At 60.2% G+C, this 14,514-nt stretch overlaps 1 protein-coding gene across 6 annotated transcripts in view, besides 4 other annotated features; it reads right to left on the bottom strand.

Moving 5' to 3' along the window:
- PDE6B (phosphodiesterase 6B) overlaps positions 1-11,951 on the bottom strand; it is a 45,210-nt gene extending 33,259 nt beyond the window's left edge. For all 6 annotated transcript variants that reach the window (XM_047415773.1, XM_047415772.1, NM_000283.4 and 3 more), the window contains exons 1-3: positions 11,430-11,951; positions 2,695-2,847; positions 1,555-1,644 (exon numbers count right to left, since the gene is read on the bottom strand). In XM_047415773.1, coding sequence (XP_047271729.1) covers positions 1,555-1,644; positions 2,695-2,847; positions 11,430-11,897 — 711 coding nt within the window. In that variant the 5' untranslated portion in view covers positions 11,898-11,951. The remainder of the gene's footprint in view (positions 1-1,554; positions 1,645-2,694; positions 2,848-11,429) is intronic.
- Positions 2,269-2,769: an enhancer, noted in NCBI's record as "H3K27ac-H3K4me1 hESC enhancer chr4:628544-629044 (GRCh37/hg19 assembly coordinates)". NCBI's record gives its function as "activates a minimal SCP1, AML or CMV promoter by ChIP-STARR-seq in naive H9 embryonic stem cells {active_cell/tissue: H9 hESC(naive)}" and the evidence as "EXISTENCE:reporter gene assay evidence [ECO:0000049][PMID:30033119]".
- Positions 10,297-11,285: an enhancer, noted in NCBI's record as "H3K4me1 hESC enhancer chr4:620028-621016 (GRCh37/hg19 assembly coordinates)". NCBI's record gives its function as "activates a minimal SCP1, AML or CMV promoter by ChIP-STARR-seq in naive H9 embryonic stem cells {active_cell/tissue: H9 hESC(naive)}" and the evidence as "EXISTENCE:reporter gene assay evidence [ECO:0000049][PMID:30033119]".
- Positions 11,286-12,275: an enhancer, noted in NCBI's record as "H3K4me1 hESC enhancer chr4:619038-620027 (GRCh37/hg19 assembly coordinates)". NCBI's record gives its function as "activates a minimal SCP1, AML or CMV promoter by ChIP-STARR-seq in primed H9 embryonic stem cells {active_cell/tissue: H9 hESC(primed)}" and the evidence as "EXISTENCE:reporter gene assay evidence [ECO:0000049][PMID:30033119]".
- Positions 13,265-14,255: an enhancer, noted in NCBI's record as "H3K4me1 hESC enhancer chr4:617058-618048 (GRCh37/hg19 assembly coordinates)". NCBI's record gives its function as "activates a minimal SCP1, AML or CMV promoter by ChIP-STARR-seq in primed H9 embryonic stem cells {active_cell/tissue: H9 hESC(primed)}" and the evidence as "EXISTENCE:reporter gene assay evidence [ECO:0000049][PMID:30033119]".

Here is a 14,514-nt window from a genome sequence, read left to right as displayed (position 1 = left end):
CCAGGCTCGGTGCGGTGCCTCAAACCAGTAATCCCAGCACTCTGGGAGGCTGAGGTGGGCAGATCACTTGAGGTCAGAAGTTGGAGACCAGCCTGGCCAACATGGTGAAACCCCGTCTCTACTAGAAATACAAAAATTAGCCAGGCCTGGAGGCACATGTCTGTGATCCCAGCTACTCGGGAGGCTGAGGCAGGAAATCGTTTGAACCGGGGGGGCAGAGGTTGTAGCGAGCCCAGATGGACCCTGTCTCAAAAACAAAACAAAACAAAAACCAAAAACATAAAAAAAAAAACAAAAAACAAAGCAAAGCAAAACCCCACAGTGATGGGGTCACGTAAAAAGGGCACAGAAGCCAAGTAAAAGAGCTTCCAGTGGCCAAAGCTGGACTCACGTGAGCAAGAAAATAAATAAAATCATATTGAATTATAACCTAAGCATACAATACTCATAAGTCCACACTGACATAAATAAATGATTGAATAAATTAGTAAATGAGGAGAAGAGACAAATCTCTCACGCAAAAGAATTCCAGATACATTACACAGATGCTCTCCCTGGTCCCTGGTTCCCACGGCCCTGGCCGTGAGAGGCCTGCTTGGATTGGGGCTGAGACTTCCCTCCGGGGGGTTTTCTCACAGGTGTCCACTGGCTGGATGGCTGGATGCCCCAGGGGCCCTGACCGCCTTTCCAGACTGCCCCTGAGGCAGCCCTGGGGCCAGGAGGAGGCCCCTAAACCCAGCCTTCCTCCAGATGCTGAGATAAAGACCTCAGCCTCTCGCCACGTTCAGCAGGCTCGCAGCAGGTGACCAGGGCCAGGCAGCATCCGCAGGCAGAACAAGACACGGAGAAGGCAGGAGGTGACCGCCGTCTTCACAGTTCTCCTTTGTGGCTCAGCCCCCAGGCCATTGCATGGACGGCTTCCCAGCCCCAACATAGAGCCTCCCTCCCCCAGCCCACTCACTATCCATCCAGGTCTCCCCTGAGCCAGGGTCTCAGACGGGAGGACCACCTGCCCTGGAGGTCATCCCCCTGCGTTTTCCCACGCACCTCGGCACACCTGACTCCTTAAGGTCCTCAGGCCTCCCTCCCCAGCGTCTCGGCCAGGGCCAGACCTGCCCCCGTACCCTCTCTCAGCCAGGGCCGGACCTGCCCCTACACCCTCTCTCAGTCAGGGCCGGACCTGCCCCTGCACCCTCTCTCAACCAGGGCTGGACCTGCCAGGGAGCCCCTCTGCTCCCTGCTCACTCGTCACTCATACTGGCTTCTCCCAAGGAGGTTGGGGGCAGCCTCTAGGAAAGGTGCCCCTTTCCCCCTCTGCAGGTGCCTCACACCCACTCTGGCCAGATGGCAGGCAGGTGGCAGATGGGTCTGGCCATTGCAGCTCAGCACAGCCACAGAAGCCATGGAGCCCTCCTCTCCCCTGAGCAATGCCCACCCCAGGACCTACCCAGGTGAGCACAAGACCACCTGCCACCACCCGCCTCTGTGCAGGCAGCGAGATGGGCGGAGGGACCCTGGCCCTCGTGGGCAGAGCTGTGCTCAGCGTGTGGGTACCTGGCCGCGGCGCGTCTCGCAGTTGTGGAGGTAGCTCAGGTGATAGATCTTCAGGTACAACGTGGCAAAATTCAGGTACTTCAAGAACACCTGAAACAGGAATTGCAACAAGAGGAATTAAAATTCCAGTTTTCAGACATGTGCCCCCGTGGGTATTTTGCAGGAGAAACATGCTCGCCTGAGGGTGCCCAGACACGCCAGGAAGCTGTGCCCCACAGGCAGACATGGATTGGCACACACAAGCTCAGGTGCACAGGGTGGGCACGCAAGCTATCTCTCTCTCTTACACACAGACAGGTGTGCACAGACACACAGGAGCACAGCGATGTGCAGATGAGCACGTGGAGCCCAGCAGCCCAGCAGACGCGCAGCACAGAACACGCGGGCAGGCAGGCAGGGAGGCAGACGCGTGGCACAGAACACGCGGGCAGGCAGGCAGGCAGGTAAGGAGGTGGACGCACAGCACAGAACACACGGGCAGGCAGGCAGGGAGGCAGACGCGTGGCACAGAACACGCAGGCAGGCAGGCAGGCAGGTAAGGAGGTGGACGCACAGCACAGAACACACGGGCAGGCAGGCAGGGAGGCAGACGCGTGGCACAGAACACGCGGGCAGGCAGGCAGGCAGGTAAGGAGGTGGACGCACAGCACAGAACACGCGGGCAGGCGGGCAGGGAGGCAGGCAGGGAGGCAGACGCGCAGCACAGAACACGCAGGCAGGCGGGCAGGCAGGTAAGGAGGTGGACACGCAGCACAGAACACGCGGGCAGGCGGGCAGGCAGGTAAGGAGGTGGACGCGCAGCACAGAACACGCGGGCAGGCAGGTAAGGAGGCAGACACGCAGCACAGAACACGCGGGCAGGCAGGTAAGGAGGCAGACACGCAGCAGAGAACACACGGGCAGGCGGGCAGGCAGGTAAGGAGGTGGACGCGCAGCACAGAACACGCGGGCAGGCAGGTAAGGAGGCAGACACGCAGCACAGAACACGCGGGCAGGCAGGTAAGGAGGCAGACACGCAGCAGAGAACACACGGGCAGGCGGGCAGGCAGGTAAAGAGGTGGATGCGCAGCACAGAACAGGCGGGCGGGCAGGCAGGCAGGGAGGCAGACGCGCGGCTGCCCAGGTGCCCCCCACACTCACATCTTCGTCTTCGCTGGTGAAGAATGGGCCGTTGAGCTTGTTCACTGCCATGATCACCGCCACGACGTCTTTGCCATTCATGATGGGTGTGGCCAGCATATTCTTTGTCTTGTAGTCAGTGAGCTCGTCAGCAAATGAGCTGAAGTGAGGGCACTGCCGCAAGAGAGGAAAGAGGCTAAAGAGGCTGTCGCACCGTGGGCCTGGAGCCCGCACCACTGGGGTTGTCGTCAAGCTCTGTGGGGGCTGCTGCCCTCCAGGTGTGAGGTGCCCAGGGGCCCTGCTGGGCACTGGGATGTGGCCACCGGGCGGTGAAAGCTGGGCCTGTCCCTGTGGCTCCAGCCTGGCTCCATGCACCCCTGTGCGGAGGATGCTGGTGCCCCCCAGTGCTCAGTCCAGCAGACTTGGACAGGCCTCATGGGGGGCCCCGCCCTGCCTGGCACCTCACGCACCTGCCGCCCTCCGGCCACGTCGGGCTTCCTGGATGCCTGTTGAGCCTGCCTGCTCGCCTTGTCCCTGAAGCCTCCTGGTGCCCGCCACCCTCTCCTGCCTTCAGCCCCCTGCAGGACACTCCTACACTCTTCCCTGAGAGACAGCCATTGGTAGGGTGTGGGATGGGCCCATTCTAATTGGGGGCTTGTTCGTCGGACACTTTAACCAGGGCAGGTGCAGCTGGCAGGCCGGGGTGGGAGTCCTTTCACTCCTGGGGTCTGTCCTCCACCCCTCTGGCCTCCCAGGCACACACTCCCAGGGGTCTGCCCCCTGGGGTCTGGGGCCCACCGTGATGAGAACTTTGCCTGCCTCTGGCTCCCAGGGGGTACCCACCCACCCTCACTCCTACCCTCACTCCCACCAGATTTAGAGCAGCCCCTCCTCTCTTGGCTCTTAGGTTCCGGCCCCTCAAGGAACAGGTCAGCTGAGCTCTGCCTCAGCTCAGACACAGCGAGGGTTACTGAGACCAGACACCCCCCGGTGACTGGGATTCTGTCCTTCAGAGAGTTGGATGTGACCCCAGACCCTCCTCTTACTTCCTGGTTCTGACATTTGTTTACATGAGGCCAGGGTGCCCTGGGGCAGTGACCCAGGTGGACGGCTCCGGAGTCAGCCCTGCTGGGGTCAGGACTTCCCACCTGTGCGACCTGCAGTGGGCACAGGGTGGTTCTGTGGCCTTCTCCTCACCAGTCAATGGGGCAAAAATAACAGGCTCTGCCCTCAGCCACTGCGCCAGCTGAATGGGAGCTCCTGGGATGCGCCTCACATCTCCTGCTGTTTCTAGGGACGGTGGCCCTGCAGCAGCAGAGGGCAGACTCCTCGCAACTCCCCTCCACCCCCTTCCCCTGCAGCAAGGTTGAGAGGTCAGAGGAAGCCTGCTGGGGGCTGGCCGAGGTGCTAGCGTGCTCCTAAATGGCACCCACCCTTCCTGCTCCTCATTTCCTGATTCTTGGAGATACAGCTGCTGCCCATAGCCATGTGGGCTGGCATTGAAGGAAAACCAGCATTTAAAAGATGGTGGAGCAGGAAGACGGGTGAGTGAGCCCTGGCAGGGGTGGCAGCGTGGGCAGTGGAGCCAGCATCCCTTTATTGGATCTGAAACAGGGATGGGCCCTGAGGGAGGGCTCATCTCACCACCTGCAACCCCTGAGGGCTCATCTCTGCACCTGCGTCCCCCGAGGGCTCATCTCTGCACCTGTGTCCCCTGAGGCCAAGCACAGCACACTCCTGCCTGCTTGTCGTGGTGCCTGTTGTGCCTGTGGCAGTTTGGACAGTGTCTCCTCCACCAGCCGTCAGTGCTACAGTGGCCACCATGTGTGCTCCCTGATGAATTCAGAGTCTCTGTTACTGTTTCCCTCCCTTTCTACCTGGAGCCCATCCTTTTACCCATCCCTTGCCAACCTCACTGACACCCTCACCTGGGGTCCTTCCCTGGTTGCTGATCTTCACAGCATGACACCTGGACATATACCAGTGATTATGGAAAGAGCACAACATGACCCTCAGACGGCACCACACAGATCCACACAATGTGACCCTCGGCACCATGCAGATCCACACAACGTGATCCAGAGATGGTGCCACATGGATCCACACAACGTGATCCAGAGATGGTGCCACACGGACCCACACAACGTGACCCTGAGACAGCACCACACAGATCCCCACAATGTGACCCCCAGACAGCACCACGCAGATCCACAGGTGATCCAGAGATGGTGCCACACGGATCCACACAACGTGACCCTGAGACAGCACCACACAGATCCCCACCATGTGACCCCCAGACGGCACCATGCAGATCCACACAACATGATCCAGAGATGGTGCCACATGGATCCACAAAACGTGATCCAGAGATGCTGCCACGCAGATCCACACAACGTGACCCTGAGATGGCACCACACAGATCCCCACAATGTGACCCTCATAACCCTCAGACGGCACCACATGGATCCACACAACATGATCCTCAGACGGTGCCTCATGGATCCACATGTGATCCTCAGATGGCATCACACAAGATGACCCTTAGATGGTGCCACACACAAATCCACACAACGTGACCCCCAGACAGTGCCACACGGATCCACACAGCATGACTCTCAGCTGATACCACATGGATTCACATAACGTGACACTCAGATGGTGCCACACAGATCACAGCGTGACACCTGGACATATACCAGAGATTCTGGAAAGAGCACAACATGACCCTCAGATGGTGCCACATGAATCCATGCAATGTGACCCTGAGATAGCAGATGGTGTCACATAGATCCACACAGGATGACCTCAGATGGTGCCATGCAGATCCACACAACATGACCCTCAGATGGTGCCACATGAATCCATGCAATGTGACCCTGAGATAGCAGATGGTGCCACACAGTTCCACACAGGATGACCCTCAGATGGTGACACATGAATCCATGCAATGTGACCCTGAGATAGCAGATGGTGTCACACAGATCCACACAACGTGACCCTCAGATGGTGCCACATGGACCCACACAACGTGACCCTCATGACCCTTTGATGGTCCCACACACAAATCCCCACAATGTGACCCTCAGATGGTGCCACATGGACCCACACAATGTGACCCTCATGACCCTTTGATGGTCCCACACATAAATCCACACAACGTGACCCTCAGATGGAGCCACATGGATCCACGCAACGTGATCCTCATGACCCTTAGATGGTCCCAAACACAAATCCATACAATGTGACCCTCAGATGGTGCCACACAGATCCACGCAACATAACCCTCAGACAGTGCCACAAGGATCCACACAATGTAACCCTCAGACGGTGTCACACAGATCCACATAACATGACCTTCAGACAGCGCCACAGGGATCCACACAATGTAACCCTCAGACAGTGCCACAGGATCCACACAATGTGACTCTTAGATGGAGCCACACAGATCCACACAAAGTGACCCTCAGATGGTGCCCCATAGTCACACAGGCTATGGTTGATCAATGTTCAGCCTCACTTCTCTTGCCAGCTTTGTCTCTACCAGTTTCTTCCTGGATCTCAGACCTGACTCTGTCACTTCTCTCTGCCCCACACGTTTTCACAGCTCTTGTTTCACAAAGAAAGTATGGGAACAGCCACAGAGCCTTCCTGCCTCTCTCTTGTGGCCTACCCTCCACCCAAGAACCTCACCCTATTTGTCACCTTCTCTTCTTCATAGTCTCTCCCCATCCTGGGATTTAAGCGCACTCAGGACTCTGTAAAATGCTCTCTCAGCCCGTTCGTCTGCCGTCTTTTCTCCTTCACAGCTGCTCCTGGGTCCCCTGCCTTCCTGGCTGCGTCACTGGTCTCAGCAGGCACCTGGCTCCATTTCAGCTGTCCCAGCTGAGGTGGGCTGCCGTTACCATCCTTATGCCGACAGCTTCTCTCCTTCACCACTGGCCCCATTCACTCCCTGGTCCTTCCAGGCCTGTGCCAGATACACCCTTGGTCCCAGCACTGAGACCTTCACGCTGAGGCTTTGTGACTGCAGCCTCTTTGTGTCTCACCAGCCCCCACACCCTTAGGACCGAGAGGAACAGCTCCTTAGAGGTCCAGAGCAGGCAGCCGGAATTGGGGCTTGGCCACCGCGGAGGTTCTGCCAGAAGCTATGCTCCTCTGAGCAGCTGGTTTTGAGTGAGGTTGCCCCTCGTTCCTCCTTCCCTGTACCTTGTCAGGCTTCTGCGAGCAGCTGGCCCAGCCCAGGGGCTCCCCAGGAACATCTGCTCCAAACCCTGGCTTGCACTCTGCCCTCTGCCCTCCTCAGCTTCCCTAACACCACAGGGAATGTTTACTTTTTTGTAAGTCTGCCATCGAGACTGCAAAGAGTCCCACGCGGAAACATCCGGCCACTCTCTCACTGACACCTGCTCTCCTTTCCCCAGCGTCTGGTCACTCTGCTGCCCTTGCATGGATGGGCACTCGGTACCAGCCGGGCCACAGCCACCCTGGTCCCAGCCTGGCTGGTGCAGCTTCCAGCCTCAGCGGCTCCCTCCCGCTGCCCCTCGTGGCCCAGCAGCCCGACCCCAGCCCAGCCTTCACTTCCTGAGATGACAGCCCTGCAAACTCCCCTCGGCCACAGGGATGGATCCCTCGGCCTCCCTGTCCGACTGCCAGCTGCCCCACCCATTGTGAAATGCAGCCACACCATCGTGTGTCTGTCGGTGAAGATTAACACGTGGCCCCTGCTGGCCCCCCGTCTCTCCTCTCTGGTGCCCTCTGGGTTCTGTGTCCCCTGTAGTGATGCCTGGCCGGGGGGTCCTTGCCTGCTGGTCTCTTCCTCTCCACTGTCCAGTCTGGGCTTCCCTACTTCCCCAGAGGCTCCTGGTCAGACATGCCAGGAGCCTTGTCTGGGAGCAGGTGGCAGCTGTGGACTCTCAGGCTCCTGGGAACCCCCTGCATTTGCTCTGCCTCTAGCAGGCCTGGGGGCTGTGTGTGCTCACATAGCCGAGCAGCTGGGCCTCGCTCTGGGGCCTTCACACCCACTGTGGCTTCTCCAAAGCACCTCCAACTGCCCAAGCCCCACACCTCCTCTGCCGTCTGTGCTCAGCATGGCTGACGGCCGGTCCTGCCACCCTCCTCCCTCTATCTCCGGATTCCCACCCAGCCCGTGTTCTCAACGCCCCTGCTCTGTCCAGCCTTGTAGAGACCACCATAGGACTGAGTCGAAGGGTCTTGACTGCTGGCGACGTGCAGGACCCCGTGATGAGGTGTTTTGGGGCAGGGGGCAGGGGACCCACCAGGGTCCCGGGACGGGCCTTTGGGATGGGTTCCCATGACGGTCCCAGGGAGAGGAGCTGGAAGGTGGTGGAGGCTGAGGCTGCATGCACAGCACTGCGGGGTCCGTGGCTGTTCGGCTGGGGCTGGGCTCAGAAACCGCTGCACAGTCAGAGCTGGGGTGTGAGTCCTGCCCCGCCACTTGGTGGCCGTGGCCGAGCCCCACCAGCCCACCAGGATCGTCCATCCCAGCTGCCCTCGCTGTGAACTCTTGCAGGTCTGAGGAGCCACAAAGGGGTGATGGGGGGGCTGGTGGCTTCCCCCTCATCAGGTGTGGGCGGCGTCCCTGCCCGGGGTGCACAGCGGGGGATGGGGAAGGCCATGCCACCTCACAGGCCCACTCGCTCCTCCCTCTCTGCACCCGACCTGTGCTTCCTTCCTGCCAAGAGGCTTGTCTAGGAGCCATGAACACTGGGTAGCTGGGCAGGGCCTCTCACCCGGCTGGCCCATTGGCTTCTGACATGTTGGGAGGGATGGAGGGGGGCCTGGTGTCCGCCTTCTGGGACCTGTGGTTCCTGAGCCCAAGGTTTTAGGGTTCACAATCCATGCCCAGGCCTGGGCCAGGCTCCAGGAAGGTTGTGCTCAGTCCTGAGTCCCGGCAGGGCCCCCCTTGTGCAGGCCCTGGGATTCGCTGTGTCTCCCCAAGGGGCTGCCGTGACACACAACATGTGTAGTCGTGGGGTTCTGGGAGCAGACAGGGACTTGGAGCCATCAGCTGAAGCCCTGCACCTCCCAGAAGCTGGTCCCACGTGGCCTGGCACCGCCTGGGCTCCCTGTAGGCCCGAGAGTGTGAGCCCTGGGCAGCCCCTCCCTCCATGGTGGCTCCTGGGACAGACCCCTGGGGACAGGAGGGCCCACAGGCCAGGCTACTGCAGCCTTCACCCTGGGCTGGCACCCTCAGCTCCAGGAGGATGGACGCTTGCAGCTCAGGGAGGAGCGGGTTACCCGGGGCCTGCCTGCCCTGCAGACTCAGGGCCCGCTGTGCTCAGGAGCAGGCTGGTTTAGCCGCTGCAGCACCCTTGAGAGGCAGACATTAGTTCCCCAATGTAAACAGGGAGACAAGGCTCAGGAGGGCGAGACTCCGGGTGGCCCGGGCAGGAGGGTGAGACTCCGGGTGGCCCGGGTGTTGCGTGCTGGCCACCCACGCCCCGTCTGAGGGACTCTTCCACCACAGCCACGAGCTGCTCTCCTGAACTGGCCGGTGCGGCTCACGCCCTCCAAAGAGGGTGCAGTGGGCCAGACTGAGGTGTGCTCTGCCTCAGTCCCCCCTTCTGTAAACTGAGACATGAACCCAGAAGCCACTTGGCAGTGCTTAGGGTGCTGAGATGCACTTCATGAGGCTTTGCACTTCATGAGGATTTGCACTTCATGAAGATTTGCTTTTTTTGGTGGCAATTCAGACTCAAGTTTCTGTTCCCTTAGTCTGAGATAACTAAGACTCCACAGAATGGAGGGACAGACACCATGCCCAGCCCCTTGGAATGGCACCAGCTACACTGGGCAGGGGAGAGGCCTCGGAGGTCAGTCCTGGGGCAGGTGCGGCCATGGCACTGGGGGTGGGGGTGGCAGGACCTAGAACAGCCCTGGGGAACAGGCCAGGCCGAGGGACGGACCTAGGACAGCCCAGCAGTTTGAGGGGGACCCGCAGAGCAGGGAAGAGACACCATCAGCCGGGTGGGGACAAAGGGGTGAAGGGGTGGTGGCAGCGGGGGACAAACTCCTGGGGGCAAGAAAGACACAGCCCAGATTTGGGACAGGGTGGGGATGAGAAGTTGTCTTGGGGATTGTGTGCAGGAGGAAGGAAGGGAGACGGGGAGGATGGCAGAAAAGGAGGGAGGAGGGTGGCAGGAGAGTGAGGGGAGGAGGGAGGAGGGAACGGGGGGAGGGAGGAGCAGCTGGTGTCCACCCCAGGCCCCACTGCTGTGAAGTTTCCTGGCTTCCTGGTAACTCATGCTCCTGATGCACGATTGATTTGTGGGTGCCCCACTTCTTAGGAGGGAGGTGGAGATGAAGGTAACCCGGGGATTACTGAATCTAGGTCACTGCCTTGCTGCTTGCTTACTGCCATTGGGATAAGAGGATTGCCACTTCCGGCCTGGTGCGGTGGCTCACGCCTGTTATCCCAGCACTTTGGAAATCTGAGGCAGGTTGATCACCTGAGGTCAGGAGTTCGAGAACAGCCTGACCAACATGACGAAACTCTGTCTCTATTAAAAATACAAAAATTAGCCGGGTGTGGTGGCGGGCACCTCTAGTCCTAGCTACTCAGGAGGCCAAGGCAGGAGAATCGCTTGAACGTGGGAGACGGAGGTTGCAGTGAGCTGACATCATGCCACTGTACTCCAGCCTGGTGACAGAGCAAGACTCTGTCTCAAAAAAAAAAAAAACCCACAAACGAAAACAAACCAGGATTGCCACTCCCCAGCTGCCTGGGAAGGAGGGACCACACCTGCCCCTGGGCTGGCAGCCTGGTGGGTAATTCCCAAGGCTCATCCAGCAAGAGCGGAGGCTGCCTGGGCCTCTTGCAGCCTCCTTAGCTGTGGGGACAGAAAAGGGGAGAGGAAGCTGGGACGGGTGCAGGACAGGGAGAAGGGGCTTCCCCCCTCCCCTTCTTCCTCAGAGCCCCCTTGCCGGGCAGCTCCTCAGGGCCTTTCCAGGTCTCTGCTGGCCGCTGCCCTCACCCAGTCTGGCAGGCACCTCACACCCCTCTTGTTCTCCAGTCCCGCCAGGACCGCCTCTGTCCTCGGGAAGCGTCTGCCCTAGCCCAGGCTTTGCATGAACAGGCCCTGCCCTTCCCTCCTTCAGTGACTCCAGTGAGCCTGTCTCGATTCTGTCTCTTGTCCCTCCCCAGTCCCACCCTGGACCCCTGTGCTCAGTGGCTACCAGGTTTGTTCTCCCCTGGCGGCTGGCGTGGGCTCCCATGGGATAAAGCTGCTTCTGCCACAGTGGAAGTTTGGGGTTCCCCTGGCTCTCCCTCCCTGTGGGCGTCTGCACCACCTTCGACTGTGACCTCTTCTTCCCAAATCCCAAGGCAGGGCCTCCCTCCCAGCCCAGAGAGCCCTGAAGCCCCCATCTGGTCAGTCTTCCTGGAAGCCAGGGGTCCTCACAGGGACTACATGGTCCCCACCATGGGATGTGGATGCAGAATCAGGGGCACCCCGGTTTGAGCCTGAGTCTGCTTCAGCCGAGGCTCCTAGACTCAGGTCTAACCAACTCAGTGGCCATGCGATGTCAGCTTGAGCCAGAAGCCGAGTCGGAGAGGCAGGCGGCCAGGGCACAGTGCCGGGAGGGGGCTCTAGGTACTTGCTCCTCAGCACAGAACTAGCCTGTGCCCTGACAAGAGGCCTCCCTGGAGGCCTGAGGATCCGAGCTGACCCTTAGACACCTGGGACAGGTGCAAGAGATGCACACAGCCGCCTCCCTGAGGCTCCGCACAGACCCACCTCGGCCACGTCCTCGACGTTCACCATCTTTTTGGTCTGAGCCACGTGGCCCACGACCCCGATGTCCAGTGGGAAGACGATCTCGGAGTCGGGGGGCACCAGGCAGTCCTCCAGGACGCTGTCCGGCTGCACGCTGAAAAGCCTGGTGGCCAGCTCGGCCACGCCGTTGCGCTGGCGGTACATGAAGAGGCTGCAGCGGTCGGCCTGCAGGAGGGTGCAGAGGCGCCGCAGGACCTTGAAGACCACGCGCTCCATGTTGATGCTCTCCTGCATATCCTGCACCAGCTCCAGCAGCGCCGTGCTCTCCTCCACCTGGCAGAGGTCCCGGAGGCTGTCGCAGTCCGGCGGGCACCCGTCCTCGCAGGCCGCGGCCACATTCTCAGGGCTCAGTTTCTTCCCAAAGTACTGGCGGGCAAAATCGGGGTTCTGGTCCAGAAAGCTCCGGGCCTGCTCCTCACTGAGGCTCATGGTGGCTGCCTGTCCCTGGAGACGCTGCTGCTCCAGGCACGCATGGACTCCCAGGAAACCCTGTCATCAGCAAAGTCTTTCTTAGTGAGATTAGGAACCCCGGGGGCGGGTCAGCTGACTCACTCCTACAAATGGGGGCCTGCGCTCCCTCTCCTCAGACCCTGGGACTTCCCACCTTCCAGGAAAACCAGACCCTGTGGAATGAAGGCTGGGAGTAACTGTTGGGGGATCTCCTGCCTGTTGCAGGCGTCACGGGTGGCTGGGCACAGGCATTTGGCTTCTAGCGGACCAGGCCCTGAGAACTAATCCCCTGAGGAGGTTATCCCACACACAGCATGACGCTTTCTGCTGGTGGAGCTGCCTGAGGGTTTGGGTTGGTCCCACAGGTGGCCCCAGGCCCTCCTGGGAGCCCAGACCTGGGCTCGGGTGTGCTGGGGAGGTGGTGGGGCACTGGCCCTGCCTCCAGGAGATGCAGTTCACCCCTGTGCAGGGAGAGGGGGCTGGGTAATCACACCAGGACCCAAATGCCCAGAGGCCAGCAAGGGGACCCTGGATGTGGAGGTGGGACCACATCCACCTTCCCCCACACTCTGAGGGATGCAGAGTTGCTAGTCAGCCTTTACCTGCTGTCAGGCCCCGGCTGGGACAAGCTTCGGGGTGACGCCGCTCTGAGGCCACATGGCTTTCAGTGGAAAAAGGACCTGAATGTTGGGGGGCTGCCTGGCAACAAAGCCCGACCTCTCCTCTCCGCTGTCACCTCAGCAAGCCTTGCCTGCTCCCATAGGCCTCTCGGCTCCTGGGCCAGCTCCCTGCAGGCCAGCAGGGGTGATGTGGCCAGAAGCACCTTGGCTGGGTCTGGCATGGGCGCCGGCCTGGCGGGCGGGTGGCAGTGTTCCTGATTTCCCTGAATATAAAAACGCTGATTGTCGCTTTCCAGGCACCTTTGTGCTGCCAGATCCTGGGCTTAAGGTTTCTTCCCATCTTTTCCAGTTTATCTGTCCATGTTGTCACCATACTTTTAACCAGGATGCAAGGTTTTCATGTGGTTCTTTTACTGCACTCAGCTGGTAGACGTGTGTGCACGCGTGCATGAGTGTGCACATACGTGTGTGCACGGAGTGTGAGTGTGCGCACGTGTAGGTGTGTGTGTTCGTGTGAGCACGTGTGCATGACAGCCAGGTGCCCTCAGGAGCGCAGAGTTCTCTCAGCACGAGGCCAGGCCCCGGGGAAGCTTCTGCGAGGGCCCTGGGCTGCACCGCTGCAGCTGCCTGTCTCGGAGGCTGCTCTGAGGCAGCATCTGCGCCGTCCACAGTGGGCCCAGCTGGGTGTGCGACGTGTGCCCTTGTGCCATGATGTTCCTGCCTCCACTTAGTCACAAAGTCACTTCCTTTCAAGGATCTGCTGAGAGGCTTCCCCTTTTTCCTAAAAATAGTGAATTCTCACTGGGGACGGGGGAGTGGGGATGTGGGTGGGGGGAGGGGTTGTGGGGCCGCTGCAGTGCTTGGGTTTGGGGCCGGGGGGAGGGTCGCCTGCTTTGCATTCAGTCCCAGAACAGCCTCCAGAGCCTGCCGGTTGCATTTCCCAACTCCCAGGGATGAGCTCACATTGCGCCTGGATGTGAGGATGGCGGCCGGAAACCAGCCTTCAGGTCCTCGGTTGCCCCACCCTGAGGTCTATGCACACGCAGCCCCTCCCCACCTCCTTTTTCCTCTCCGGGCTCTTTCCCGTCCCCCAGTTCCTCACAACCCCCTTCTGGACACCCCCACTTTGCCCCTTGCTCCCCTCCGTCAGCGAGGGGCCTGCCAACCTCCCTCCCACAGGGGCCTCCGTGCCCGCAGAACTGAGACACTCACCTGCGTGTGAAATGAGCTAAGCGCATCTTGAGTGGGACCGCAGAGCTGGAGAGGCCTTGCTGGGGGCATGAGGGCCCTGGGGTGGGGCTGGGGGTGGCAGCTGACCTCAGGCTCTGCCTTGCCACCTGCCCAAGGGAGCGTGGAGTGGCTGGGCTCAGTGTGGAGAGCAGGTGGGACAGGGAAGGGGTGCTGGGCTGAGGATTTGTGGTGCTAGCGGGAGTGAGGGTTGGCTGGGAGGGCTCAGTGTGGAGAGTGGGTGGGACGGGGAAGGGGTGCTGGACTGAAGATTTGGGGCGCTAGCGGGAGTGAGGGTTGGCTGGGAGGAGCCCACAGTCTGCGGCCATAGTCCACTCACCCTAACACGACTGTGACAGCAGCTTCCACCCGCAGCACCGCGTTCCTCACCTGTGGCTTTGTCCTGCCCCAGGAGCCCGTCGTGATTGTAGGTGAGTAGGTTCAGGGCGGCAAGGAGTCCACAGCCTCTGGGGAACCCTGAGCCATGACCATGGGAGTTGTGTGTGAACACCGCAGCTCCCTTACCTGCAGGGGCCCAGAGGTAACTGCTCCATGGCACACTATTGGTTCTATCTTTTCCCCATCTCACTTCCCTACATACCTACTGATGATGCTGGGGGACCCTGATTGGGTTGGACTTGACACAGTCAAAAAGACACACCTGTGAGGCACACCTGTGAGACACACCTGTGAGACACAGCTGTGAGACGCACCTGTAAGGCTTACCTGTGAGATGCACCTGTGACATG

Source organism: Homo sapiens, chromosome 4 (assembly GCF_000001405.40).
Source record: "Homo sapiens chromosome 4, GRCh38.p14 Primary Assembly".
Lineage (NCBI taxonomy): Eukaryota > Metazoa > Chordata > Mammalia > Primates > Hominidae > Homo > Homo sapiens.
The sequence above is the reverse complement of the archived record's forward strand: the minus strand, read 5'-3'. Positions and strand labels throughout refer to the sequence as shown.